Consider the following 27,838-nt stretch of genomic DNA (forward strand, 5'->3'; position numbering starts at 1 on the left):
TAGGGAAAGGATAAACTAGTTAACAAATGTTACGGACTGAAAAAAAAGGATATTCTTAAATAAAAAGTTAAATTAGATGTCTATCCACACTAAATATCAAATTCAATCAATACGAATATGGGAAAAACTATTTAGCATTACATAGTGAGGGTTAAAATGGAGCAAATGATCATTGATTATCTCTTCAAGCTTTGGCTCTGGTTCTCACCCTAGAATAAGGGTGTCTTTCTAGTCGCTCTGCTGGAGGGGGCACTTTATCCTTGTTGGTCTATCAAGTAGAGGTCTCTTTTGTGACTGGACCTGCCTGGAGCAGCACTTTCTTCTTCTTCTTTTTTTTTTTTTCTGAATTCTCACAGAAGTGTTCTAATGTGCTAGCTGTGGCCCCAATTGAATTTTAGTTCTAGTTAGTTGCTATCTAAGATCACTTTAATTTTTGGTGCTAGAGTTATCACCATTTACTAACATTTTATTCACTATTCTTTAAAGTCCTAAGTCATTTTTATGTGTACTATTACCTAACCATTATCTTTCATCTTATTATTATAGTCTTATTGGTTACTTAGGCGACAGCATATGCTTTTAGGAGGGCACTATGGTACAAAGCAGATGACATATTCTGAAATTTTACTATATTCAAAACCTGAATTTGTGACTTTGAGAAAGGTACTTCATCCTTTGACTTCCAAATCCATCAAACATGGATAATAGTAATACACATTCCATATTCCAGGGTTGTAGTGAAAATTAAATAAGATAACCTATGTAAAAACTCTCAGTATTGTGTTTCACATCTAATAGTGTTTAATGAATGCTGTCTCTTTCATTCATATTATGTTTGTCTTCATTAAATTTAATTTATTATATTAATCTCTTCTCTTTCACCAGCAAATACAGCTTTGTTTTCAATTTTGCCATCTATTATAGTCATAATTATATTATTCATATATGCAATATTTTGAAGTAGTTTCAATGCAATCATACAAATCATTGAATCAAAGTGTAGAATAGTAAAAGGTCAAAAATCAGAGTTCATGATACCCTGAAACACACCTCACTTTTGGTGAATATCAGCTCACATTGGAGATGATTATTCAACAAGTAATTAATATATTTATTTTACTTGAATTTGGTGTATAGGGTAATCAATCTAGTCAATTATCACTGAATTGTTATCGCTTCTATCTAATAAAAAAAGAAGTCTGAGTGACTGAGAAAGGGTTTAAACAAGGTGTATATTGAGTTTCTAAATAAATCACAGATATCGAAGAAGTGCTCTAGGACACTGGTTAGGGTACCTTTTTTTCTTGTTTTTTTTTTTTTGGGGTGGGGTGTTAAGACCTCAAAAGCACAGACAACCAAAGCAAAAATAGACAAATGGGATTGTATCAAGCTAAAAAACTTCTGGAAGCAAAGGAAACAATCAGCAAAGTGAAGAGACAACCCAGAGAATGGGAGAAAATATTTGCAAACTATCTGCCTGACAAGTGATTAACCACCAGATTATATAAGAAGCTGAAATAACTCAATAGCAAAATGTAATAATAATGATCTGATTTTAAAATGGTCAAAACATCTGAATAGACATTTCTTAAAAGAAGACATACAAATGACAAACAGGTATATGAAAAAGTGTTCAACATCACTAGTCATCACAGAAAGGAAAATCAAATCTACAATGAGATATCATCTATCCCCAGTTAAAATGGGCTTTATAAGAAGGCACACAGTAACAGAAGCTGGTGAGGACACAGAGAAAGGGGAACACACATACATTGTTGGTAGAAATGTAAATTAGTACAGCCACTATGAAGAACAGTATGGAGGTTCCTCACAAACTACAAATAGAATTACTATATGATCCAGCAATTCCACTACTAGTATAACCTAAAGAAAGAAAAGAAATATATTGAAGAGATATCTGCACTCTCATGTTTACTGTAGCCCTATGCACAACAGCCAAAATGAGGAATCAACCTAAGTGCCCATCAAGGAATGAATGAATAAAGAAAATGTAATATGTGTACATACTGAAACATTACTCAGCCACAAATAAAAATGCAATCCTGTCATTAGCAGAAACATGAATGCTGGAAGCTATTACATTAAGTGAAATAAGTCAAACACAGAAGGACAAATATTGCATTTTCTCATTCATATTTGAGCTAAAAGAAAAGTGGATCTCATGAATGTAGAGAGTAAATATGTGGCTACCAGAGAGCAAGAAAGAGGGGGGAAATGAAGAGAGGTTGATTAATGGGTACAAATATAGTTCGACAGAAAAAATAAGGCAGTGTTTGATAAATCAGTGGGGTGACTATAGTTTACAATAATCTATTGTGCACTTCAAAATAGCTAGAAGAGAAGAATTAAGACGGTTCTTACATAAAGAAGAAAACAAATAATTATGGTAATTGACTTCCTAAGTACACTAATTTAATCTTTACAGATTATATGAATGTATTAAATTATCACATGTACCCCCAAACTATGTATATTTAATATGTATCAATAAAATTAATACAAAAAAGAAAAATCTAAGTGCAGTAGCTAAAAATAATATAAAATACTGTTGTGATGTTCATACTTCAATATCCTTATTTCAGGAATACAGTGTTAAATCTCCATTATGTCTGGATACCTAGTACTTGATATTATTTATCATGGTACCACAATTCATCACTAGGTTTATTGGAAACTGTGACAAAACTAAATTTTTTCTCCTTCATGTGGGCTGCTAGAAAACATCAAAGGTATTGGCTTAATAAAACACTTATTTATTTTTCAAATATTCAATTATAAATCTGAATACATACACAAGAACAATGTTTCTGAAGGAACATGCAACTGTGACTAATTTACTTCTTCAAAGAACCCCTGAGAGCTGAGCAATAGACTAAAACCTTGTGCACTACCTCTGAATGCTATAATTATATTGAAATTTCCTGAAAGAACAAATACATAGAAAGAAAAAAGTTCCCGAAGACATAGAGTGTGTGACTATCTTAACTCTGAAGACTAGCTTTGAATTCTGTCAATCCTTCCAAAATTAGGGAAATACAGAATCCTAATGTTAAACTGAGATAATTTATAGGAATATATTAAGCAAATCGCAGTACTTCAAAACAAAACTCCAAACCTGTTAATGTTGTTTGCCCAACAAGTTCCTACTGGAAGGATGTAGCAAAAATATATTCATTATGGAATGTAGTTTCTGTTTAAACAAGCAAAGTTAAAAGGAACTAAGCAATTGGCCAGGTTCAAAACTTATAGCTTCTATTGAGTCTTAGTGTGGCAAAAATCCAAAGGAAGGAGACAAGGGCACGGCACTTACCCAAGAACCATTTGCTGTGGAAAGCTGGCTTGTTATAAGTTTATCTTCTAAACTTAATAAGCTCATCACAAATACTGCTTCTTCCCATCATTTTTTCTGGTATATTAGACATTTTTTAGAAAGATAGTATATCAACTATATTAAAAACAATTTTAGAGGATAAAAATGAATCATCTGTAATGTTTTTAATAAAATTATTATTTTTAAAATTTTATATTCAGAGGGTACAGGCACATGTTTGTTATATGGGTATATCGCATCATAGTGGGTAGGCTTCTAGTGTAACCCACATCCAGATAATGAACTTTGTACCTGGCAGGTAATTTTTCAACTCTTAACCCCCTCTTACCCTTTTCCCTTTTGGAGTTCCCAATGTATATTATTTCCATATTTATGTCCATAGGTATCCTTTGTTTAGCCCTAATACGTAAGTGAGAACATGTAGTATTTGATTTTCTGTTTGGGAGTTATTTTACTCAGAATGGTGGCCTCCTGCTGCATTTATTTCACTGCAGAGGACATGATTTTATTCTTTTTTATGACTGCATAATATTTCATGGTATATATGTACCACATTTTTTAATCCAATCAACCATTAATGGACACTTAGATTGGTTTCATGACATTGCTATTGTGAACAGTGCTGTGATAAACGTAAGAGTACATTTATCTTTTTTAATATAATTATTTATTTTGTTTGGGTAGATATCCAGTAATGGGATTGCTGGGTTGAGTGGTAGTTCTATTTTTAGTTATTTGAAAAATCTCTGTACTATTTTCCATAGAGGTTGTAATTTGCAATCCCACCAATAGTGTAAAAATGTTCTATTCTAAGTCCATGCCAACATCTGTTGTTTTTGACTTTTTAATGATAGCCATTCTGAGTAGTGTTAGAATATATCTCATTGTGGTTTTAATTTGCATCTCTCTGATGATTATTTATGTGGAGCATTTTTTCATGTGTCTGTTGCCCACAGTATGTCTTCTTTTGAAAAATATCTGTTCATGTCCTTTGCCTAGTTTTTAATGGAGTTGTTTGTTTTCTTTACATTGAGTTGTTTGAGTTCCTCATAGATTCTTAATACTAGACTTTTCTAGAGGTATAATTTGCAAATATTTTCTCTCATTCTGTAGGTGGTTTGTTTATACTATTGATTATTTCTTTTGCTCTCCAGAAGCTTTTTAGTTTAAAGCCCATTTTTTTGTTTTGTTGCATTTACTTTTGGGGTCTTTGTCATAAATTATTTGCCTAGGCCAATCCAGAAGAGTCTTTCCTAGGTTTTCTTCTAGGACTTTTATAGTTTCAGGGTCTTATGATTAAGTCTTTATCCATCCTGAGTTAATTTTTGATGAGGAAATGCCTTTGTGTATGATGAGTGATGAGGAAATGCCTTTGTGTATGATGAGAGATGAGGGGGTCCAATTTCATCCTTCTGCATATGGCTAGCTAATTTTCCCAACACCATTAACTGAATAGGGTGTCCACTTTCCATTGTCTATTTTTGTCAAAGATTAGTTGGTTTAGGGTATGTAGCTTTATTTCTGGGTCTTTTTTTCTGTTTCATTGATCTGTATGTCTAGTTTTGTTATCAGTATGATGCTGTTTTATTTACTATAGCCTTGTATTGTAATTTGAGGTCAGGTAATTAGATGCCTCTGGATTTGTTCTAATTGCTTAGGATTATTTTGGCTATGAGCTGTAGCATTATCTTTTCTATTTCTATGAAAAATTACATCGGTAATTTTATAGAAATTGCATTGAATCTGTAGATCTCTTTGCGCTTTATTGTCACTTTAACGATATTGATTCTTGCAATCTGTGAGCATGGTGTGTTTTTGTATTTGTTCATGTCATCTACAATTTCTTTTATAAGTGTTTTGTAGTTCTCTTTGTAGAGATCTTTTACTTCCTTGGTTAAATGTATGTCTAGGTATTTTATATTTTTAGTGGCTGTTATAAATGGGATTGAGTTCTTAATTTGATTCTCAGCTTAAATGTAACTGGTGTTTAGAAATACTTCTGATTTTTGTATGTTGATTTTGTATCCTGAAATTTTACTGAAATCATTTAAGTCTAGGAGTCTTTGGAGGAGTCTTTAGTGTTTTCTAGGTAGACAGTTATGTCATCAGCAAACAAAGGTAAATTGACTTCCTCTTTTGCAATTGGATGCCTTTTATGTAACAAAATTATTTTTATTCTTTTTCATATTTCCTCATTCTATAAATGTGAAAATATATTTTATGTAGTCAAAATATTAATAAAAATAAGATTTCATGCACCAAAATGTTGTATTCTAACTGATTTTCATGTTGCTTTATAATCATATTTGTTGCTTCATATTAGTTCATCACATATTATAAAAATGTAGCTATAAAAAACAATTATGAAAGACAGATATTTCCTCACTTTTAGACAGTTAAAATGGTATCATTTGTTTTACTAGTTCTGGCACTGGCATAGTAAATAATATGATCTGAATATTTGTACCCCCCCGCCGAGATTTGATGGGAACCCAATCACTAATGTAATGGTGCTAGGAAGCAGGACCTTTGGGAAGTATTTAGGTCATGAAGTCAGAGCTCTCATAGATGAAATTAGTGTCCTTGTAAAAGATATCCCAGGATGAATCATCTATTTATGAGATGGGCCCTAATAGGTACTGAATCTGCCAGTACTTTGATTTTGGGCTTTCCAAACCCTAGAACTGTGAAAAATAAGAGTTGCTTATAAGATACCCAGTCCATGACATTTTGTTATAACTGCCTCAACAGACTATGACCAAAAAAACAAAATCAGTATTGAAAAAGGGAGGTGGTGCTATAACAAACATCTAAAATGTGAAGTCTTTGGAACTGGATAATGGGTAGAGACTGGATGAGTTTTGAACTGCAGTGTAGAAAAAGTTTATGTTGCTATGAACAGACTGTTAAGGGTGATACTAGTGAGGGCTCAGACAGAAAGCCTCAATTTTCAGAGAATACCTAAGTAATCCCAAACAGAATGCTATTATAAACATGAAGGATAAAGGCCGTTATGATGAAGTCTCTGACAAAAATGAGAAATGTGTTATTGGAAACACAAATAGGAAAAGGAAATTCTTATAATGTGGCAAAGAACTTAGCTATATTCTGTTTGTGTCCTAGTGTTCTGTGGAAGGTAGAACTTGGGAGTAATGAAATTAGATATTTAGCTGAAGCTATTTCTTAGTAAAATCTTGAAAGTGCAGCTTGACTTCTCTTGAGTGCTTAAAGTAAAATGCTAAAAGAGTATAATGCTTAAATGTTACATTTTTAATCCAAAGGGGAGCAGAGCTTAGTAATTTGGAAAACTCTGAATTTATCCATATAAGAAAAATATGAGAAATCTTTTTCAAAAGACAACAAGGATGTGTCCAAGCTACTATTTAATAAGGTGATTTCTGTGAATTTTCCATGTCAACAGAAGCCAGGTGTTATTCATAAATGCAATAGAAGAATGAGCCCAAAGGCATTTTGGAGATTCTTAGAGCTGATCTTTGCATCACAGGCCCAGAGTACAAGGGCCTAGGCGATAGAATAATTTCCATGCTTTGCTCCTGACATTCCAGGGCAGCACTCCTCACTCACACCAAGTGTGGCTCCAGTGGGCCCAGGTGTGGAGAGGGCTATGGTGGCTGCCCTTTCAGAGGGCACAGCTGGTAAACCTCTGCAGCGCACATGCAGTGCCATCGCTGATGGCACACAGAGTATACTAGCAGAGGGACCATGGCTATCTGCATCTATATTTTGAAAGATGGAGGCTGCCAGAGACTTGGGTGCACTACCTAGGCAGAGGCACCTCGATGTAGGGACAGAGTCCCAACTAATGGAGTGCCTAGTGCTGTGAAGATCCTAAGATTCTATTTTTCTTTCACAGCACCAAACATGTATTTTAAAAAATTATCTACTGCCTTGAGGCAGCAGTAAGGAAAAGTGCTTATTGTTCTACAGTGTGATGTAAAGCAGTGATAAGAGCTGCCTACATCCTCTCCTGGTATAGTCAGCACCTGTTGAAGTCCTATTGATTTTAATTCAAACCTGCCCAAGGTGATGGCACAGTGCCCCCTCATGCCTCCTCTGTCCCTCTGTCAATAATTTGAAATGTCAACCATTTGGAAGGATAAGAGTTTGCAACTTCCATTATGATCCCTCAAGAAAAGCTTTACCTAATACAGTGTGTGTGTGTGTGTGTGTGTGTGTGTGTGTGTGTATGTGTGTGCTTACACAGCTGCATAAAACCTATATAAGTATTTGTATGTACAAAACACAAACTTTCAGCTCGTATTCTCATTTGCAGTTCACTGTATCAAGAAAGGGTTACAGAGGATGGAGCTATGACTACAAGTGACTAGAATTCACTGTGGACCACTCTCAAAGGAAAGCCATTAAAATGGGCTTTTTAAAGTTATGTTGCCTTTATTATTTAGAAGACTTAGTCCTCAGTAACAACCATTATGCAAAGTCCTAAGAAAGAAATGCAAGAGGGAAGGCCAGAAAAATGCATATATTCTTTATTAGTTTAGTGAGCTTTGTGTACAAAATTAAGTTTAGTTCTCTACTGGACTAAATTAGACTATTTAGTAACATGAGAGGTCTACTTATTTGGTTATAGGTAGATCTACATCCTGAATTAAAGGCAGTCTTGGTGTTTTGCCTTTAGGCCATCACTCTAGTCTTGGCTCTTAAGCTCTAATTTTCCTGTTCATATTGAAGAAATGATGGTTCCCCTGTAGTATTATAACTGACATCATTATTAAAGCATGAACCATAAGAGATATTCTGAGAGTTTTTTCTCTTAAAGAAATGAAAATGTGAAATTATGGTAGTTATATTATTCCATTAATATCAGTGTTAGAAAAGCATTGAACAGGCTAGTGGGAACGTAGATTTAAAAGAGAAAATCATTTCTTAACCTTAAAAAGAAGACGCCAGGTCTTAATAATACATCAAAAATCAATAATTGAAATGATCTATTCCAAAACATGTTGTCCTCAAAACACTAGCCTTTTATTTAAGAAGATGATCTGCTTATTTCAAAAAGTGTGATGCTGCTCCATCTTTCTGCACTTCCCTAAGAAGTCACAATAATTTGATGCTTATGTTACTGTTCAAAACATTTTTTCAGTTTTTATGGAAAGCTTTGATGCTCCAGATAAATCTCATTGTACAGTAGATCAAAGAGGACAATGCCTTTCGCCAAAGAAGTATAACATACCAATTAGCGTTTCATCTATTGGAAGTTATATATATATTTTTCCTTCAATAAGTCCTATCAGTACCTACAATGTGCCCAGAATATGTGATAGGACTACGTAGGTGTGTTTTCAGTGACAGGAGAATAGACCTGGGATAGGTAAAATGTGCTGAGAACAAAGGGTGTTAAAGTTCTATCATTATCATAAAATGCTTTGTATTATTAATAATATTAATACTAATGCCTATTATTAAATATCTATTTTATTCTATGATTTCTTCCTCTTGAAAATATCTCATAAACTAATACAAAATGTTAAGTGAATTAAAGAGAGAACTATTCTGTTTCTTCCAGAAATGAAGCTGGAAATCTAAGCTTAAAAGACTAGATTCCAACTTGGAAGAGAGCACCAACAGCTACGCATCACTTGAGGTTGTTTAAACAGAGTGCCAGCCAGAAGCATTCTGTAATGCATCAGCAACTTGCCCTCTATGAGAGGGTTCTGAAGTTTGTGGGAGCTGTATGCGCATCTATAAAGCTGAGGTTCACTCCCCAAGCACTTGGAGTCTGCTTAAGTATTGCATTATTTTTGACTGAGTTCTGATGAAAGTTTCCTTTCTGTGATTTTATGATCTGCATCAAAGTTGAAGTCATGATTGCGAGTCTTAATTTAGATCTACTGTCACCTGGAGAACATAATTCCCTTGGGATACTAGAAGAATTTTAAAAATTTACTAATGCTCATGTTTCTCCCATTTTGCCTAAAAAGTTCTACAGTGCTTTACCTTATATGATAATCTGATACTCAAAGGAATATCATGGCAACAAACTTCAAATTTGTTGCTTAGATAAATTATACTCCTTTATTCCAACTGAACTCACCTACTAGATTCGTGCAAATTGATTTGTTTTGTAATAAATGTCTCAAAAAAAATTAGCAGAATTTCCTTTTGCTCTTTAAAAAAAGGGGCCGGGAGTGGTGGCTCAAGCCTTTAATCCCAGCACTTTGGGAGGCCAAGGCGGGCAGATCACGAGATCAGGAGATTGAGACTATCCTAGCTAACATGGTGAAACCCCGTCCGTACTAAAACTGCAAAAAAATTAGCTGGGCATGGTGGCACACGCCTGTAGTCCCAGCTGTAGCACAGGCTGAGGCAGGAGAATCGCTTGAACCCGGGAGGTGGAGGGTCCAGTGAGCCGAGATCGCGCCACTGCACTCTAGCCGGGGCAACAGAGTGAGACTCAGTCTCAAAAAAAAAAAAAAAAAAAGGCAGAAGTCTTGGATATGTTTCTTTGTGCATCCTTTAGAGCAGTAGTGCATTATCTATCTATTGCTTCAAAACAAATTACCCTAACACTTTGTGGATTATAACGCTAAACATTTATTATCTAACATTTTCTGTGAGTCATTAATTTAAGCATCGATTAGTCAGGTGATTCTGGTTCAGATTCTTTCATAATGTTGCTATCAAGCTGTTGGCCTGAGTTGCCATCACCTAAAGGCTTGATTGGGACTGAAAGGTTCACTCAAGATTGTCCCCTTATGTGGCTATTGGCACAGGGTTTCATTTCCTTGCTGGCTGCTGGCAGAAGAACTCAATTCTTTGCCATGTGGACCTTTCTTTAGGGCTGCTTGAGGGTTCACATGACATGACAACAGATTTTCCCCAGAGCAAGCAGTCTAAGAGAAAGAACAGGATAAGGTAGTTTCTTTCATGATCTAGTCTCAGAAATCACACATAATCACCTCCACCATATTTCATTCATTAGAAGCAAATTAGTAAGTATAGTACTTGTTTAAGGTAAGGGAAATCAGGCTCCACCTTTAGAAGGGTGGAGGATTATTAAATAATTTGTCGATCTATTTTAAAATGACTACATGGTAAGAAGGGCTGGCGCTTTCTTAGAACTGGTTTGTATAATCTTCTTGAACCTGAAGGAGCACCTTTCCTCTCTACCTTAGTATTCAGAGTAAGAGATTTACACACTATGACAGAAACTTTAAATGCATAAGATTTATAACTGTGTGTATTTAATAGAAGCAGTGTGCAAGGTTCCGTGCAGAAATAAAGGTTGAGTACATAACAGTTTACTGTGCACTGTTTCCAATACCAACAAGATGTAGTTCAAAATCACTTACCTTAGTGTCACAGACAGAGATTTAAATATATGCAGCATCATTCCTAGTTGGAAGACTTAGGCAAGTTACATAATCAGTTTTCATGTCAGTTACTTCATTTACTTAAATGGATTCTTACAATAACTCTGTGAAGTGTGGAATATTATCCTCATTTTATAAGAAGACAAAAATTGAAGCTCATTACAACTAGAAAGTGGCAGAGTCAATGTTACAATCCAAGTTTAGTTGATGCCAAAACATCTTTGGTTTCTCCTGTGATTTCTGGAAAAGAGAAAACAGTTAAAATTGGTCAGTGATGTAGCATATATGAAAGTGGGGAGCATTATTATTAATAAAGTTAGTATCTACACATAAAACAAAGTTTCATAAATAAAAATTATTTCTATTGAAGAACAATTAATATGTGGTTACTTAAATCAACAGAATTTTAACTATCAGCAGGCTTTCAAGATTTTTTTTTATTTTTTTGAGACAGAGTCTTGCTGTGTCCCCTAGACTGGAGAGCAGTGACGTGATCTCGGCTCACTGCAACCTCCAGCTTCTGATTCAAATGTTTCTCCTGTCTCAGCCTCCTGAGTAGCTGGGAGTACAGGCTCCATGACTCCTGGCTAATTTTTGTATTTTGACTAAAGATGGGGTTTCGTCATGTTGGCCAGGCTGGTCTTAAACTCCTGACCTCAGGTGATCCGCCCGCCTCAGCCTCCCAAAGTGCTGGGATTACAGGTGTGAACCACTGCGTCTGGCCTAAAGATTGTCTTTAACTTAAAACATTGAGTTAGGGTATGCAACCAAGTAATATACTGCATTAAAACTATTCAGCCCTACTTATTGCCTTGCTCTGTAATTTCACATTAAATGTTGAAGCAATATGAAGCATTATGATTCACAGCTTAGTTTTAGTGACACAGTGCAAGCAAATGTCAGCTCCAGGATGCTCTTGGTTAGTTTATACCTGCCTTATTTATTCAAAACCCAGATTTATCTGGTATCTTGATTATACTGTAAATAGAAAAAGGGATACAGGAAATGTCAGTTACACATTACAGATGCCCTATCCCTTTCATTGTTTGCTGTATACCACTTTGAACCTAGTATTGAACACTAGCTTAATAACTCTGAGTTGAGCCAATCAAATTCAAAACATATTCTTGAAACTTAGATGAATTTCTGATAATTCAAAATCATTGATCCTGCTTTGAACAATGTAGGTTTTTCAGGATATTTGAATTTATTGAATATTTAAGTAGCTAAATTTTCTTAAATTCTTATGGATTCTTATTGGAAGTCTCAATTATAGAATCAAATACTGTCATTGAAAGGAGCATCAACTCAATAAAGCAGAGAGATCAATGCCATGTCTAAGGATGCTGGTCTATTTCCTTTAGGCTGCATTAGCTTACACTGGACTTGAACAGGTTACTGAACTAATGAGTGTTTAATCTTACTGTAATTTATAACATGACAACTTATTGAGGCTGAAAAAGTGATCAGTTTCAAAAGCTCTCCCTTAATATGTGGGAAGTAGTTTGCACACTGGGCAAGTATAAATCACAAAGTAATAACAGTCGTGTAAGATTGTAACAAATATAAATTGCTATGTAAATATTAAATAGATTACACAGTATTTTTAAGCCCCGAAACATCAAATCACTTTGCAAAGAACTAAATGTCAAATGACATGGTGTGTGTTTATGCATACTTCTTCTATGGGCCATTATTACAACTTTAGTAACATTGCTTTAAAATTTTCATATCCAGAGCATACTCACTTTTGTTATTTACTTTGCTTGGCTTCAATCTCTTTGTTTCAAATAGCAACCTTAATTTTCCACAGAAAATTTTGAAATTTGGGGCTTGAGGCTGCTGTGGTGACTGGTCACTTGCTCTGTTTGGAGAAATTGCTAAAGAAGGTAAGGAATGGCAAGTACGTTACTAGAGGGTAAGAGTCCTGAAAAAAAAATGATACCCATTACAGTTACACCAACATTTGTGTGTAGGAATTTGGTTGATGTTCAAAGGCAAACTTAGAGAGTAAAACTACGTAAATTGACAATATATATCTTGAGGGGTAAATGTGGAAGGAAACATGGCAGGAGGAAGACTGTCTGGGTAAGTAAGAGATTTTCAGCTGATACCAATACAATGATTATGCCAATATATAGTGAATTCTTATAATTTTATGTTGCCTTGGTATCCATTTTGAATATGTTTACATTTTTTATACCAGAAGTAAAGCTTAGTCACTCTTGAAACAGTTTCTAGTCCTACACCAACTCTCAGTTCCCCGGTGTAATCAATCCAGATATCTGCCTTAAACAACTTCCCGGTTGTGACCACTTCCCTAAGCGACAGCTAGATATAGCCTACTTGACTGGCCCTGCTAATCTCCACATCCCATACGGACTGTGCAGATATGCAACTGTGACCATTTTCCAGTCACAATGTTACCTCTGAGACTTTGTGTCTGCTTGCTTTAAACCTACCAAGCAAAACTTCCCATAGGAAATCTGTTTGAATAATGTCCTAGATCCCAATAAAGACATTGATCCACGGTCTCTTTCTCTCTGTCTCTCCACCTGCTCCTTAACCCTCATGTGTGTGGCCTCCAGACATGTCTATACCCCTCAAGATCTGTAAATAATAAGCTATTTTCATGTTGTGTCTCTCCTAATCATTGAAAGGGTGCTCTCCATCTTAAAGATCCTAAATTAAAACACAGTAGTAAGTATTACCATTATCATCATTATCACTGATATTTCATGTTCCTACTATGTTGTTGCAGGTCTTTAACATAAGTATTTTCATTTTTAACCCTTACCCTCAATGAGATAGCTTTTTACTCTCATTTTTACAGATGAGTGAGTAATCTGTCAGGGCAGTTGAGGGAGATCACACAGCAGGTGACTAATGATGGTTTTACATAAACCCAGGAGAGTCCTGTTCTAAAGACAATGCTGCAGATGTACTATCCCCTCTCCTGACTGCATCTGTGCCATGCCGTTTGAAATAGCTTGCCTTTCTTATCATTTCAAGTGTCTTAGACCTCAAATATCTTCTTCTACTTTTCCCCCAGAGCACACAAATTTACCTCACATGCAAAGTCACTGATTGGCCTAGGGTGACTACTGTTGACTTAGCACACACTGGGATTTTTTTTAAAATTTTATTTTCTTGCACCACTTTGACAGAGCAAACAATTTGCTTCTTCTTTCAAGGCTGGAATGGAGTACAGTGTTTATTTGTTTCCACTATATCTGACTAAAACACAGGGATAGAACTGGCTATGTGCTGGTGTTGAGAATGAAAAGGCATCAGAGAAGGGACTTCAGATGACAAAGGTATTTCAGAGCATGGCATGTTATCAGAAACACGATGTTCTTTAGGCAAGAGAAAAGGATAAAGAAACGAACGTAAAATAAAAACTATGAGGAAAATGTCTCCTAATTTTCAAAATTCAACAAAAGCAAATCATCAAGGAAGTTCATGGGGGCACTCTGAAGGACTGGCTGGGATTAGTACTAAAATTACAGAACACAATTCCAGCATTTAACAGGAGTAGTAAAACAAGACATATCTGATATGGAAACTAAGTCAAGGATTGCCTCAGTCCACAAAGGAAATTCTATTCGTAAGAAATAATTGAAGAGGCCATTTCCTAAAATCAGAGTATAGATTAGAGAAATTGACTTGATTTCCAGCTGTCAATATAGCTATCTTTGGCTGACTTATACAGCTGAGCAAGAGGAAGTTCCTCTTCCATAGGTAGAAACTATACAAAACTAAGTGATTTAGCTTTATGCAACATGCATCAGAGAAAGGCAGTTATGACATTAAGCATTTTGATGATAAACTCAATTTCTGTTTTGATATTCAATAATCTGCAGATGCAAGCTTTTTGCCAATAACAAGAAATTACTAACATTATTTATAGTTGTATTCCTAAATGGTAAATGTTTGGATGTTTGCATTTTAAGTAAAAGTCAAAATAAAATAATTATTTCTACTACAAATGTTTTCAGAGTAGTCTTTGATTTTAAACCTGAATGCTTTTTTTGTTGTTTTAGTTATATCTTTGTTGACTGTATGTATCCTCATACCTAAACAATTAATGTGAAATCATAAAAGTTGGCGTTTAATAATGTTAATAAAATGACAATAGCTATCATTTAAGGGCTTGATGAGACTGACTGTGATAAGTGCCAAAACACAGAATTACCATACTTAAGCCTTACAACAGCCTGTCTTGAAGGTTACCTTTATTAATTCCTGGAGAGGCTCAGGAAATTTGTCCATAGTTTCAGCTAACAAAAAGGTATATTAGACTCACACCTAGACTGAAAGCTTTATACTTATTATAAAATGTAGATACATGCTATGCCAATATAAGGTTCTTAATCAACTTCAATTTCATTATGCAATTGTATAGAAAACAGTCAACTTTTCACTGGAGTGAGAGGGAGGACAATTATTAGTATCAAGCTGTCTTGTCCTTTTACCTACTCACAAAGACAATATAAAATTTAGTTAAAATATTACAATCAACTTGAGTAAAAAAAGGCATCATCCATGGTTTTCTAATTCACTATTTTCTTTATTTTGCTATTTTAAACCAAAATATGTCTTTTTTATAAAAACTTAATACTTTTGCTTTTTTTTTTTTACTTTTTAAAAGCATACTAGAAACATTTGAAGTTTTGAAAGGTTACTACAAGATAGCTGAAAAATTTACTTTATCTGGAAAGGAAAATCTTGGAACATTAGCATAAAATAATTAAAGTAACTAAGCAGGAAAAACAAGATAATCCTACTAAATAAGTTCGATTTCACATGGTAATTGATTTTGCTGTTTCAAAATGTTTGTAAATGTTATAATATTGAACTGGGCTTGATCTACGTTGCTCCATTACATGTTTAATTTAATAACAATAAACTTTATTCTATGCTTTCTTCCTATTTTCCAGTACCCAATTTCTCAAAATTTTATGAAGGCCGGAAAATGTTTATTTACCACAGCACATATAAGACAGCTGGGATCCAACAAGTCTACAAGCTATCCAGCTGAAGAGGTAGCCTCAGGTTAAGTTCTTTGGTATGAATTCTTCTGAGATTCTTAGAGGACCTTCTTGCTTTGTTCCTTGAGCCCCAATTTAAGACTATTGCTGGAATTAGAAACTAACAACAACAACAAAAATATTCACTGTCACTTTGTCGTGAGTGGCACAAGATCAGACATAACCAGATCCATGCACATTTGTGTATTTTCACAGTCAGAATTTTACTATTTCAGTAATAGAAGCTATGAGCCACCTGGAATTTTTTCCCAAGGAGGCAATTCTTCTTGGTACTACCCACCACTCAGCACTAAGATCCATGGGTACATAGGCTCAAGCCACTCCACAAGTCAGTCAATATTGCAAACCACACGTAATAGTATATTTAATCAATATATAACTGTTAGAGATTAAAATTTCAAACCAAACTGTAGCATTTGACATCAAGAGAAAAAGATGATTAAAAAGGTGTTAATGAGCCAGTCCAAGGAGAGTGACATGGACAAGGAGAGTGTCCTCACCTGATCCAGACAGTCATCAACGTCTTGCAAAGAAGAATCCTTGATTTAGGCAGAGTCTTCAGCGGCAGATATGAGGTGCTGCTGATCATGAATGATGAAAAGACAGGGGCTATCAAGAAGGCCATGTCTACCTGCTGAATTTCTGCTCATTTTATGAACCTTGAGTCCTCTGGTGAGAATTGATAGTAAAGGGTTACACCCTTATCTGATTTGGTATTATCTCTACTGACTAGGCAAACATCTGGACCCTATTGGCTTGATGGCTTTTGAAACGTAAGATGGAGTCTTTTTCTAAGACAGACTCACTATGTCAAGGGAACTCACTTATTACATTCTCCATGTCATGTAATAATATATTTTCAAGAGGAAAGGTGCCTTAAAAACAATCTACTTTCATCATTTGCTTTTAAAAATTGAGGAAAATGGGAAATGACATAATTTGTTGACTTACTTGAAACCCACTTAGCTAAACTACGGTCTGAATAAATGTGTTCCCTGAAAATTTATATGTTAAATCTCATCCCTCAAGTTGATGCTGTTAGTTGGTGAGGGTCTTTGGGGGTTGTTGGACCATGAGGGTAGAGACTTCATGAATAAATTAGTGTCTTTATAAAAGAGAGTGCAGGGAGATTCCTCTGCCATTCTGCCAACTTCAGCAAGAAGTTGTCTGTTTGCAACCCAGGCAAGAGCTGTCACTAGAACTCAGCTAGGCTGGCACACTAATCTCAGACTTCTAGCCTCCAGAATTATGAAATAAATTTCTACTTAAAAAAATACTATACCCAGTCTTTAGCATTTTGTTATAGCAGCCCAAATAAACTAAGACGGAAAATTGATACCAAGAAGTGGAGAGGTGATGTAACAAATGCATTAAAATGTGGAAGTGGTTTCAGAACTAGTAATGGGTAAAGGCTGGAAGACTTTTGAAGTGCAGGTTAGAAAAAGTCCACATTACCATGAACAAATTGTTTAGGGAAATTTGGAAAAGGCTTAGAAGGAGAGGAGGAGTGATTTAGGGAAAGTCTCTATTGACTTGGAGAATACCTGAGATATTTTGAACACAATATTGTTAGAAATATAGATGGTAAAGGCCATTCTGATGAGGTTTCAGACAGAAATTAGAAACATGTTATTGTATTTTAGAGAAGAGGCAATTCTTGCTATAAAGTGACAAAGAACTTGGTTGAATTATGTCTGCATCCTAGTGTTTTGTGAAAGGGTAGAAATGGTGCATAGTGAAATTGGATATTTGACGGAGGAAATTTCTAAGCAAAATATTTATGAATGGCCTTGCTCCTCTTGACTGCTTATGTTAAAATGAGAGAATAAAGAAATGATTTAAAGACAGAATTGTTCATCAAAAGGGAAACAGAACTTAAAAATTAGGAAAATTCTCAGTCTATCCATATCGCAAAAATAAGAAAGCCTGTGTGAAAGAGAATAAGAGTGTGGTAAAAAGAATAAAGTTCAGCCATCTCAACTGAAGCTAGAAGCTATTGATCAAGACAATGTGGAAATTAGCCAGCCATGTAAACAAAAACGAGGACCTATTTTCTAAGACTATGGAAGAAAATGGAAATCATCAGTGCTGCCCCTCCTGTCAAAGGTCCAGCTTGCAAGAGTTATATTCCTATGATCTTAAATGGGTAAAGCCACTGGCAGGCAATTCTGAGCAAGGAGACCTTTAGGCACATGACTTAACCCATGAAAGCTGCAGTTTGGGTTGTGTTCAGCAAAACTGTGGTCATTGGCTCCAGCAGGTCTAAAGGACAGAGGGCCAAATTAAAAAAAAAAATACATATATATATATTCATATTCTTGAGCCTTAAGGGTTTAGATTTGCTAGAGACATTTCACTCTCTTCTTCTTTCAAATTTCTTTCTTTTTGAGTGGGAGTATCTATCCTATGCCAGAACCACAATTGTATTTTAGAGGCACATTATATGTTTAATTTCACAAGTTCACAGATGGAGAATAATTTGCCTCAGAATGAATTGTACCCTAAGTCTCACCCCTATCTGACATAGGTAATATTTAGATGAGACTTTGGGCTTTAAACTTTTTAGTTACTGCTGGAACAAGTTAATACTTTGGAGACAATAGACTGAAATGAATGGGAAGAGTATTGCATCTGAGAAGATAATGAATTTTGGGATCCAGGGACAATAATATGTTCTGAATGTTTATGTCCTCCCTAAAATTAATATGTTGAAAACTAAATCACCAAGTGATGGTATTAGAAGGTCAAGTCTTTGGGAAGTGAAAAGGTGATTAGGGCAGAGCCTTCATGAGTGGGATCAGTGCTTTTAAAAAAGAGGCTTCAGGGGGATCCCTCCTCACTCCTTCTGCCGTGTGCGGTTTCAATGAGAAGACTGTCTATGAATCAGGAAACTGTCCCTCATCAAACACCCAATATGCTGGTACCTTGATTGTTAACTTCCCAGCCTCTGAATATGAGAAATAAATTTCTGGGGTTTAAAAACTATCAGGGTATGCTAGTTATAGATGCTTGAATGTACTAAGTCAAGGTAGGACCCACATTTTCTGATGTCCAGGCAACAGTCAAATTCTATTTCCTTTCTTTCTGAACTTGATAATCAAAATTCAATGATACAAGTTTATTTCACAAATTGCCACATTTACATACTAAATTTTAAATAAGACGAATTTTATGAGAATCTCTTATCTTAAACAGAAGACATAAAAATCATAAAATGTTTAGGATTTTTGACCTACAAGTAGATTAATTATATTAATCCTTGAGAATTAAATAGAAATGAAAAGGAGATGTTGGAAAAATGTAAAATGGCATTAAAATCAGTTTTTTTTCAGCATAGTGTGAATATTAAACTTTGTGGAAATAGATCATTTTCATCATCATATTTTGTCTCACAAGTCCCCTGTAAAAAAGGAGAACATCTTTAAGGGCATCTGAAGTTGTTTTGGATTCTCCCCCATACCCCTCAAAAATGATTTACATCTATATATTAGTTTCCTATTGCTGAGGTAACAAAATGTATTCTTTTATAGTTCTGGAGGCCAGAGGTCCAAATTCCTTCTCAGGGGCATTGGCTGGGGTAGTTCTCTCTGATGACTTTAAGGGAAAATTCATTTCTTGTCTTTCCTGGTTGATAGAAGGCACCCACATGTCTCAGTTTGGGGTCCCCTTCTCTGCACTACACTAACCTCTTGCTTTCCTTCCCTTCATCACACCTCCTACTACTCTTCTGATCCCCTTGCATCACTCTTACCAGGACCTTGCACTCATATTTGCTTTACTTTAATTATCTAGGTTAATCTCAGGATCTCAAGATTCTGAATTCAATCACATCCTCAAAATCTCTTTACCCACATAAGATAACATATTACAGGCACCGAGGATTAGGGTGTGTTATTTTTGGAAGGCGGCATTCTTCAGATTACCAGGATCTACCATGAACTTGATACTTAATCTTGTCTTAAAGGTAAGATTTTAAGTACTTTTAAACTACTTAAAACTACTTATTTTAGCTATGCTTCATGGATTTCACAAGTATTGGTGCTTAAATCTTGTTCATTTTTCTGCTGTAACCTCAGTTGGCCCTTCCAACTACAACATTAACTGTGAGTGAGTGAGTGAGTGAGTGAGTGATAGTGAGAGGTGACAGCGTGCTGGCAGTCCTCACAGACCTCGCTCCCTCTCGGCGCCTCCTCTGCCTGGGCTCCCACTTTGGCGGCACTTGAGGGACCCTTCAGCCCATCACTGCACTGTGGGAGCCCCTTTCTGTGCTGGCCAAGGACAGAGCCGGCTCCCTCAGCTTGCAAGGAGGTGTGGAAGGAGAGGCGCGAGCGGGAACCGGGGCTGCGCGCGGCGCTTGCGGGCCAGCTGGAGTTCCAGGTAGGCGTGGGCTTGGCAGGCCCCGCACTCGGAGCAGCCGGCCGGCCCTGCGGGCCCCGGGCAATGAGGGATTTAGCACCCGGGCCAGCGGCTGCGGAAGGTGTACTGGGTCCCCCAGCAGTGCCAGCCCACCGGCGCTGCGCTCGATTTCTCGCCGGGCCTTAGCTGCCTTCCCGCGGGGCAGGCCTCAGGACTGCAGCCTGCCATGCCTGAGCCTTCCCCCGCCTCCGTGGGTACCTATGCAGCCCGAGCCTCCCTGACGAGCGCCGCCCCCTGCTCCACGGCGCCCAGTCCCATCGACCACCCAAGGGTTGAGGAGTGCGAGCGCATGCAGGACTGGCAGGCAGCTCCACCTACAGCACCGGTGCGGGATCCACTGGGTGAAGCCAGCTAGGCTCCTGAGTCTGGTGGGGACGTGGAGAGTCTTTATGTCTAGCTCAAGGATTGTAAATACACCAATCCACACTCTGTATCTAGCTCAAGGTTTGTAAACACACCAATCAGCACCCTGTGTCTAGCTCAAGGTTTGTGAGTGCACCAATGGACACTCTGTATCTAGCTGCTCTGGTGGGGCCTTGGAGAACCTTTATGTCTAGCTCAAGGATTGTAAATATGCCAATCAGCACTCTGTCTAGCTCAAGGTTTGTGAACACACCAATCAGCACCCTTTGTCTAGCTCAGGGTTTGTGAGTGCACAAATCGACACTCTGTATCTAGCTGCTCTGGTAAGGCCTTGGAGAACCTTTATGTCCATACTCTATATCTAACCAATCTGATAAGGACGTGGAGAACCTTTGGGTCTAGCTCAGGGATTGTAAACGCACCAATCAGCACCCTGTCAAAACAGACCACTCGGCTCTACCAATCAGCAGGTTGTAGGTAGGGCCAGATAAGAGAATAAAAGCAGGCTGCCGGAGCCAGCAGTGGCAACCCGCTCAGGTCCTCTTCCACGCTGTGGAAGCTTTGTTCTTTCCCTCTTTGCAATAAATCTTGCTACTGCTCACTCTTTAGGTCCACAGTGCTTTTATGAGCTGTAACACTCACCACGAAGATCTGCAGCTTCACTCCTGAAGCCAGCGAGACCATGAGCCCACCGGGAAGAACGAACAACTCCAGACGCGCCGCCTTAAGAGCTGTAACACTCACCGCGAAGGTCTGCAGCTTCACTCCTGAGCCAGCGAGACCACGAACCCACCAGAAGGAAGAAACTCCGAACACATCTGAACATCAGAAAGAACAAACTCCAGACGCGCCACCTTAAGAGCTGTAACACTCACCGCAGGGGTCCGCGGCTTCGTTCTTGAAGTCAGTGAGACCAAGAACCCACCAATTCCAGACACAATAGGATTTGTTGCAACAGAAATCCTTCGATAAAAGGTCAGTATTAATCCTGTAAGCTAACGCATTATCTTAGTTGTTCATTAACAATCAAAATATGACTATGAACTGAGACGTATGAACCTGCATGTAAAATTTTTCTTATTAGAAGATGATTGTTTCAGAAGCTTGTTGACTCCTCCACATTTTTCAAATTCATACAAAAATTTGTGCTAAGTAAAACAGATAATACATAAGTAGATAAAAGTAATAATTAACCTTAATGAAAAACCTTAGGATGGGCATTACATTTCAAAACCAAATATTTTTAAATGCATATATTTCATATTTCATGTACCAATTTTATTCCTAGAGAAACATTAGCGCAGCGTAATTTTTTCCATGTTTTGTCTTTCATTTACTGTGTTCATGTAGATATGAGTCTATACTCATAAAGAGGTGTAGATACTTGCACTACTTTTCTGCAGTTGTTTAGAATACAGAGATCTTATATGAAGAGAACATTTGTTGATTACGTTTAAGAAGTTATGTCTTCTTAAATCAATATGAAAGTATATATATATATATATGTTTTGTAGGAATTTGTTACAGGCTGCCTATGTGCATAAACCTGTGTATAAGATACTGGGAGAAGGGAGAGTCTTTAAACATAAGTTGAGACTTTGTCACACATATCTTTATGCCCCTGGAAATAAGTGCTTCATACCAACAAGCATATAAAATTAATATTAGATCATGAATCATGAGAAAGAAGGTGGGAGATGGATAAGGAGAAAGTGGAAAATGAGAGAATGAAGGAAAACTGGGATTAGACACTCTGTTCTAAGCTAGACCACTGCCATTATGTTAAATATTTTAAAGTTCATCTCCAGGAGCATGTTATCAATAGAGATCTCTCTATATCTGGAGACATGGTGGTAAGATTGATGAAAAGTTGAGTGCTTTTCAATTAGCATGCTTCATAGTAGACTTTCCTGTACCCAGAATAAGATTCTTTTAGTTTGAATTATTCTAAAGACACTTAAAAACAAAGGAAAAATAGAATGCAGAGTGGTCAAGTTTGTTTTCATAAAAAAGTGCCATTGTCTTAAATCAGAGCAAGTAACATCAAAATAGAGACAGTCGATACAGAAGATATAGTTGGGAATAGTTTTTCCTATTAAAGAGGGTCATAAAATTCTCTTGCCCAATGTCCAAAAATTCAGAAGAAGAGCAGGGAGAGGTATAGGAATGGCACGTGGTCTTGAAATCCTGACAGACTGACAGAACTAAATTCCAGGATTTTCCTCCTCCGGGTTTCAAGATAATAGAGAATGCTGAAGCTCTGTAGATCAAGCAATATAGCACATGCTCATTTGTAAAAACTACTGCAACAATACTGTGTATGGTCCAATTTAACTCTGCCCTGGTCCATTCCCTTGCTGCATTTAGACATGAGATGTGTAAAACGGATAATTGTAGTAATTCTTCACACAATGTAAAAGGAAAGGTCTTCTCAAAAAACACTGTGGCACTTTGGGAGGCTGAGTCGGGTGGATAGCCTGAGATCAGGAGTTTGAGAACAGCCTGGCCAACACAGTGAAACCCGCCTCTACTAAAAATACAAAAAATTAGCTGGGCATGGTGGCAGGCACCTGTAATCCCAGCTACTAGGGAGGCTGAGGCAGGAGAATCGCTTGATCCCGGGAGGTGGAGGTTGCAGTGAGCTGAGATCGCACCATTGCACTCCAGCCTCAGCAACAAGAGTGAAACTCCATCTCAAAACCAACCAACCAACAAACACCATTATGGTAATACAGAAGGGTTTATTTGAAACCTGACTCTACTGCCTAAATGTAAACGGACCAAACAGGTTGGGTTTTCCAGTAAATTTCTAATTACCTATAAGATTTCATTCAACAATTGAAAAGATTAATTGTACAAAATCTATATGCAAGGCTCTAGAATCTGATGATAACAAGTTGAATACCACATTTTTCTTATACATGATAGGCTTATATTCTGGTTGAAAGAGGATAAATTTTTAATAAATGTGGTTTGCTAATTGTGTAACTAAATTGGTTCAATTTTAAAACACTGCAAAACTGTCCTTATAAATAATTCACATGGAAGACATGGATTGTCAAACTATATGTCCCAGTTTTTGTTTAAAAGCTAATTTCTCCATGCCAATCTTAAAATAGAGATTTTTTTTGAGAAACAAAATTAGTGTGCATGTGTCAATTTCTTTATTTTTGAACATACAGTTTTTTGGATTTTTCGTTTTTAAACAAACGTGATTGACTTTTGTATACCCCCCATAACCCTTCTGGTACCATTTACACCTTCTTTAGTTCTAGATACGCAAATTATACAGAGTGAGTAAAAAAGAAGTCCAAATTATGCAGTGAACTTTGGAAAAGGTTCTGTAATATTCCAAATTATAGAGAGTTGTCCAAAATAAATCTACACTTCATTCTTTCTGTGTTGACTCAGCTTCAAAGCCTGGAAAGGATTCACATTTTGCTCTAGTCTAAACAAGGTTTTGCCAGCTCTAACCAGATTAGAAAACTACTCTTCCACATTTGTTTTTCTTGGGTCACATATAAATGTTTGCAAATTATGTTATTACTCATTGCTAATGAGGTAATTTTTCATTAGCACATCTCCCCTTTTTAAATCTAATGCTTATTCAGATATTATCCTGCTCTTGTTTTTCAATGGCAGTTACTAACGAATAATATAATTAAATAGATCCTAGTTTATTATTTTTAATAGGCTTACTTGTACAACCTTTTAACTGCAGGGTTCTTGACTGTTTTTAGGCAATTTAGCAGAAAGTTAAGAGTTTGACTGTTACAGGCATATTCATGTCTTGGGCACAGACTATTTTTAAAATGGCTTGAGATTTTTGCAAAAGGTGATTAACGAGGTCATATGGCTTCAGTAGTTCCTTCTTAATTATAAGAACATTTCCCCCCTCATAATGGTCTCTTAGCTTAAATACAGCTTAGATACACATTTTAAAATATTATTTGTTTCTTCTTCAATCTCTGTTTTTCTATAGCAGAAACATAAAGAATATATTTAGTTAAGTGTTGTTTTCCAAATTTTCAGATACAGTCATAGAATTTGTAATCAACTGCTTTTAAAGCAGTTTTTTTTCTTTTTGCTAAAGAGTAATGAAAATGGGTATTTACTGATAGGAGATTTTTCAATTACACTCAAATTTTACTTGAATTATTATGATCTGTAAGTGTCACAGAAATGATTCAATTTATCAAAGAATGTTATTAAAGCCATTTAAGCTCCTAAAGAAGCCATAACACTCTGTAGGTTAAAGATATAATTTAAGTTTAAAAAATGCAAAATTATTACAAAAACGTATTTCCTATTTTTAGTGTCTGGTATATAATAACATACAATAAATAATTGCTGCATAAATTAGTATGTATGAAGAACCGTTAAATACAAAAGCTAAAATTGTTAGTATTAAATAACACTCACAAAAAGGTAATTATTTAGAGTGATGGATATGGTAATTAGTCCTATTTTGGTAATCATTTCACAACATATACATACATTAAATACTGTACATCTTAAATTTTTGTCAATCATACCCAATAAAGCTAGAAAAAAACCCCAGAAAACCAAATGACCACTTTGATAGGAGAGGATATTAAATATTTAATGCAAACATGGTGTTTTCCAAAAATAAAACTGAACACAAAAACAGAAGAACAAAACCAAGCCTCCTCTTCCCACCTGTCGCTTATATTTAGAATTGTGAATCTACAAAGAGCAGCTTCCTATCTTAAACTCATATTCAGGGTTAAATGCTTAAAATATTTGATTGAATAATCATTTTCATGTCTTTTTTCATTGCTTAAAATGAACCTAAAATGAAAAACAAACATAAAAATGATTATTCAATGAAATATTCTTAGAAAAATCTGCATAGAATATGCTTCTTTTGGAAATTTATAATGCATACTTATAAATTAAAAGTCATGAGAAAGTCTGCAATAAACAAACTTGTTTAACATTCTTCAACCCCTTTGTTTAGGCTATATGTCCTTTCAATAATTTATGCAAGTTCTGTAGTAAAAAACTTGTTTAACCTTCATCTGTCCCTTCATTAAAGTTACATAGCCTTTAAACCTTTTATATCAAGTAATATTAGAGAGAAACTTTCTGGAAAACTTTTAAGAAATTTTGCAGTGGTACCTGACATAATTCCCTGATTCACAGTAGTTTCTCCAAACATGTTTATTCAATCAGTGAATAAACTAATGAATGAGTTCAGCTTTGGGAAATTATAGAAAAGAAATAGCTCTTCATAACAGAACAAAAATGAAACTAATCTCTCTCCAATCTCTTCTTCTCTCTTGCTTATATTCTTTTTCATTTTTTATCTCCCTTCTTATATAAATCTGTGTTGACTGACTGTCAACCCTTCTCTTTATAGACCCGTTTGAACTCAGACACTCATTGGTCCTTCTATTAAAAATGGACCCTATATAGAGATATGATTTTTATATTCAGTAGAGTAGAAAATCAATACTCTGAAAAACTGGTAAAGCCCAGTAATAAGCCTGATATTGTTCAAAATAGATCACATGAGTAGAGTAGTCTCCTTTTCTTGATATGACATGTGGAAGGGAGAAACATCATCACTGAAGTGCATTGCCTGTGCACACAGGAGTCTGGCTCAGGGCCAGTCCACCATAAACTACTTACAAATGGTATAATTAAAATGAATGAATGAAATGTTGAGCGGACTTTATATTCTAAAGCAATCAAAACTGAAATTTACTTTCTTATCACACCTTCTGGTAAAACTGGTTTTATGGAAACATTCTATTGAGAATTTTAAAGAGTGACTGTTAAAAAGATGGACTGGAGTTAATTTATGTTAGATTTGCTTTTCTCTGATGGAATTTTTTAAATGGAAATATTTAACTAAAAACATGATAAATGTCCTCTATAGTAATTTATAAATTAAGAAGAAAGTTGGAGTCTGCAAGACACCTAGCCCCAGGGCTGTTTGTCCATTCTGAGGCACCAGGAAGGCAGCAGAAGAAGGTTTTCACCTTATAGGTACTATTAAGAAACCTCCACCATAAAGGTAGTATTAAGAAATAAAACAGCATACCTATTGTCTCAGCTACTCAGGAGGCTGAGGAGGGAGGATTGCTTGAGCCTGGGAAGTGGAGGTTATCGTGATCCGTGATCATGCCACTGCACCCCAGCCTGGGCAACAAAGCAAGGCCTGTTTAAAAAAAAAACAAAACTCTATGATATAGAGGAAGAGATAAAATTAAAATATGCAATAAAGCAAGACCTGTCTTTTTTTTAAAAAAAACCTATGATATAGAGGAAGAGATGAAATTAAAATATGGTTTAGCAATTTATCTTAATGAACAGAAGTGTTTTATCTAGCCCTGTAAAGTAACATTTAAAAATTTTCATTGAAAAATTACCCCAAAATAGAAAACATCAAGTAGTTTTAATAGAATTTTTACATTAAATTAGATTAAATCTCACATGTAATTTAATATTTGTTTAGATAGTTTTGCCAATTTCAAAGACGAGTGAAGTAAATAGACTGAAATTCTTGAGTTACCAAAATGAATTAAAAAAAAAAAAAGGCGAGGTATGATGGCTTACATCTATAATCCTGCACTTTTGAGAGGCTGAGGCTGAGGAGGGAGGATTGCTTGACCCCAGGAGATCAAGGCTGCAGTGAGCTACAGTCTAGGATCCTGCTAGTGCATTCCAGTCTGGGAGACAGAGACATAGAAAGACCCTGTCTCTCAAACAAACAAACAAAAATAACAACAAAAAACTTACCTCCTTACTCTCCACTGAGAAATCTCTATACAAATAAAATTTTTCTTTTCATAATAATTATATATGCAAAACATTATATAAACCATTAATTGCTTTTTTAAAACAATAAAAATAAAAACAAACATCCGCTTACCCACAACATAGCTTTACCAGCAACTCCAAGGTGTAGAATATGCCTGAACCTGATCCCATATCTTTTCCTTACATTCCACATTTTGTATGTCCCTAAATATTTATTTTAGGGACATAGAAATATGATTTTGCCTTCTGTGTTATTCTAAGGCCTCCTCTTATATTTCAATATTATTCTTGAGCTATTCACCCATGCTAACCACATTATAGTACTCAACTGTGAGTCTATTGACTTTCTACATTTTCTCAGTGTTCCACCCAAAGTGGCATGCATGTTTTCATGAACATCTTCTGGTGTACAAGAACTAATTTAGGGAATACATGTAAGAGAGAAATTGCTGGGGCATGAGTTATGAACATCTTCAAATATGCTAGATAATTCAAAATCCTTCTCCAGAGTATCT

The sequence above is a fragment of the Homo sapiens genome, chromosome 14, assembly GCF_000001405.40.
Source record: "Homo sapiens chromosome 14, GRCh38.p14 Primary Assembly".
NCBI lineage: Eukaryota > Metazoa > Chordata > Mammalia > Primates > Hominidae > Homo > Homo sapiens.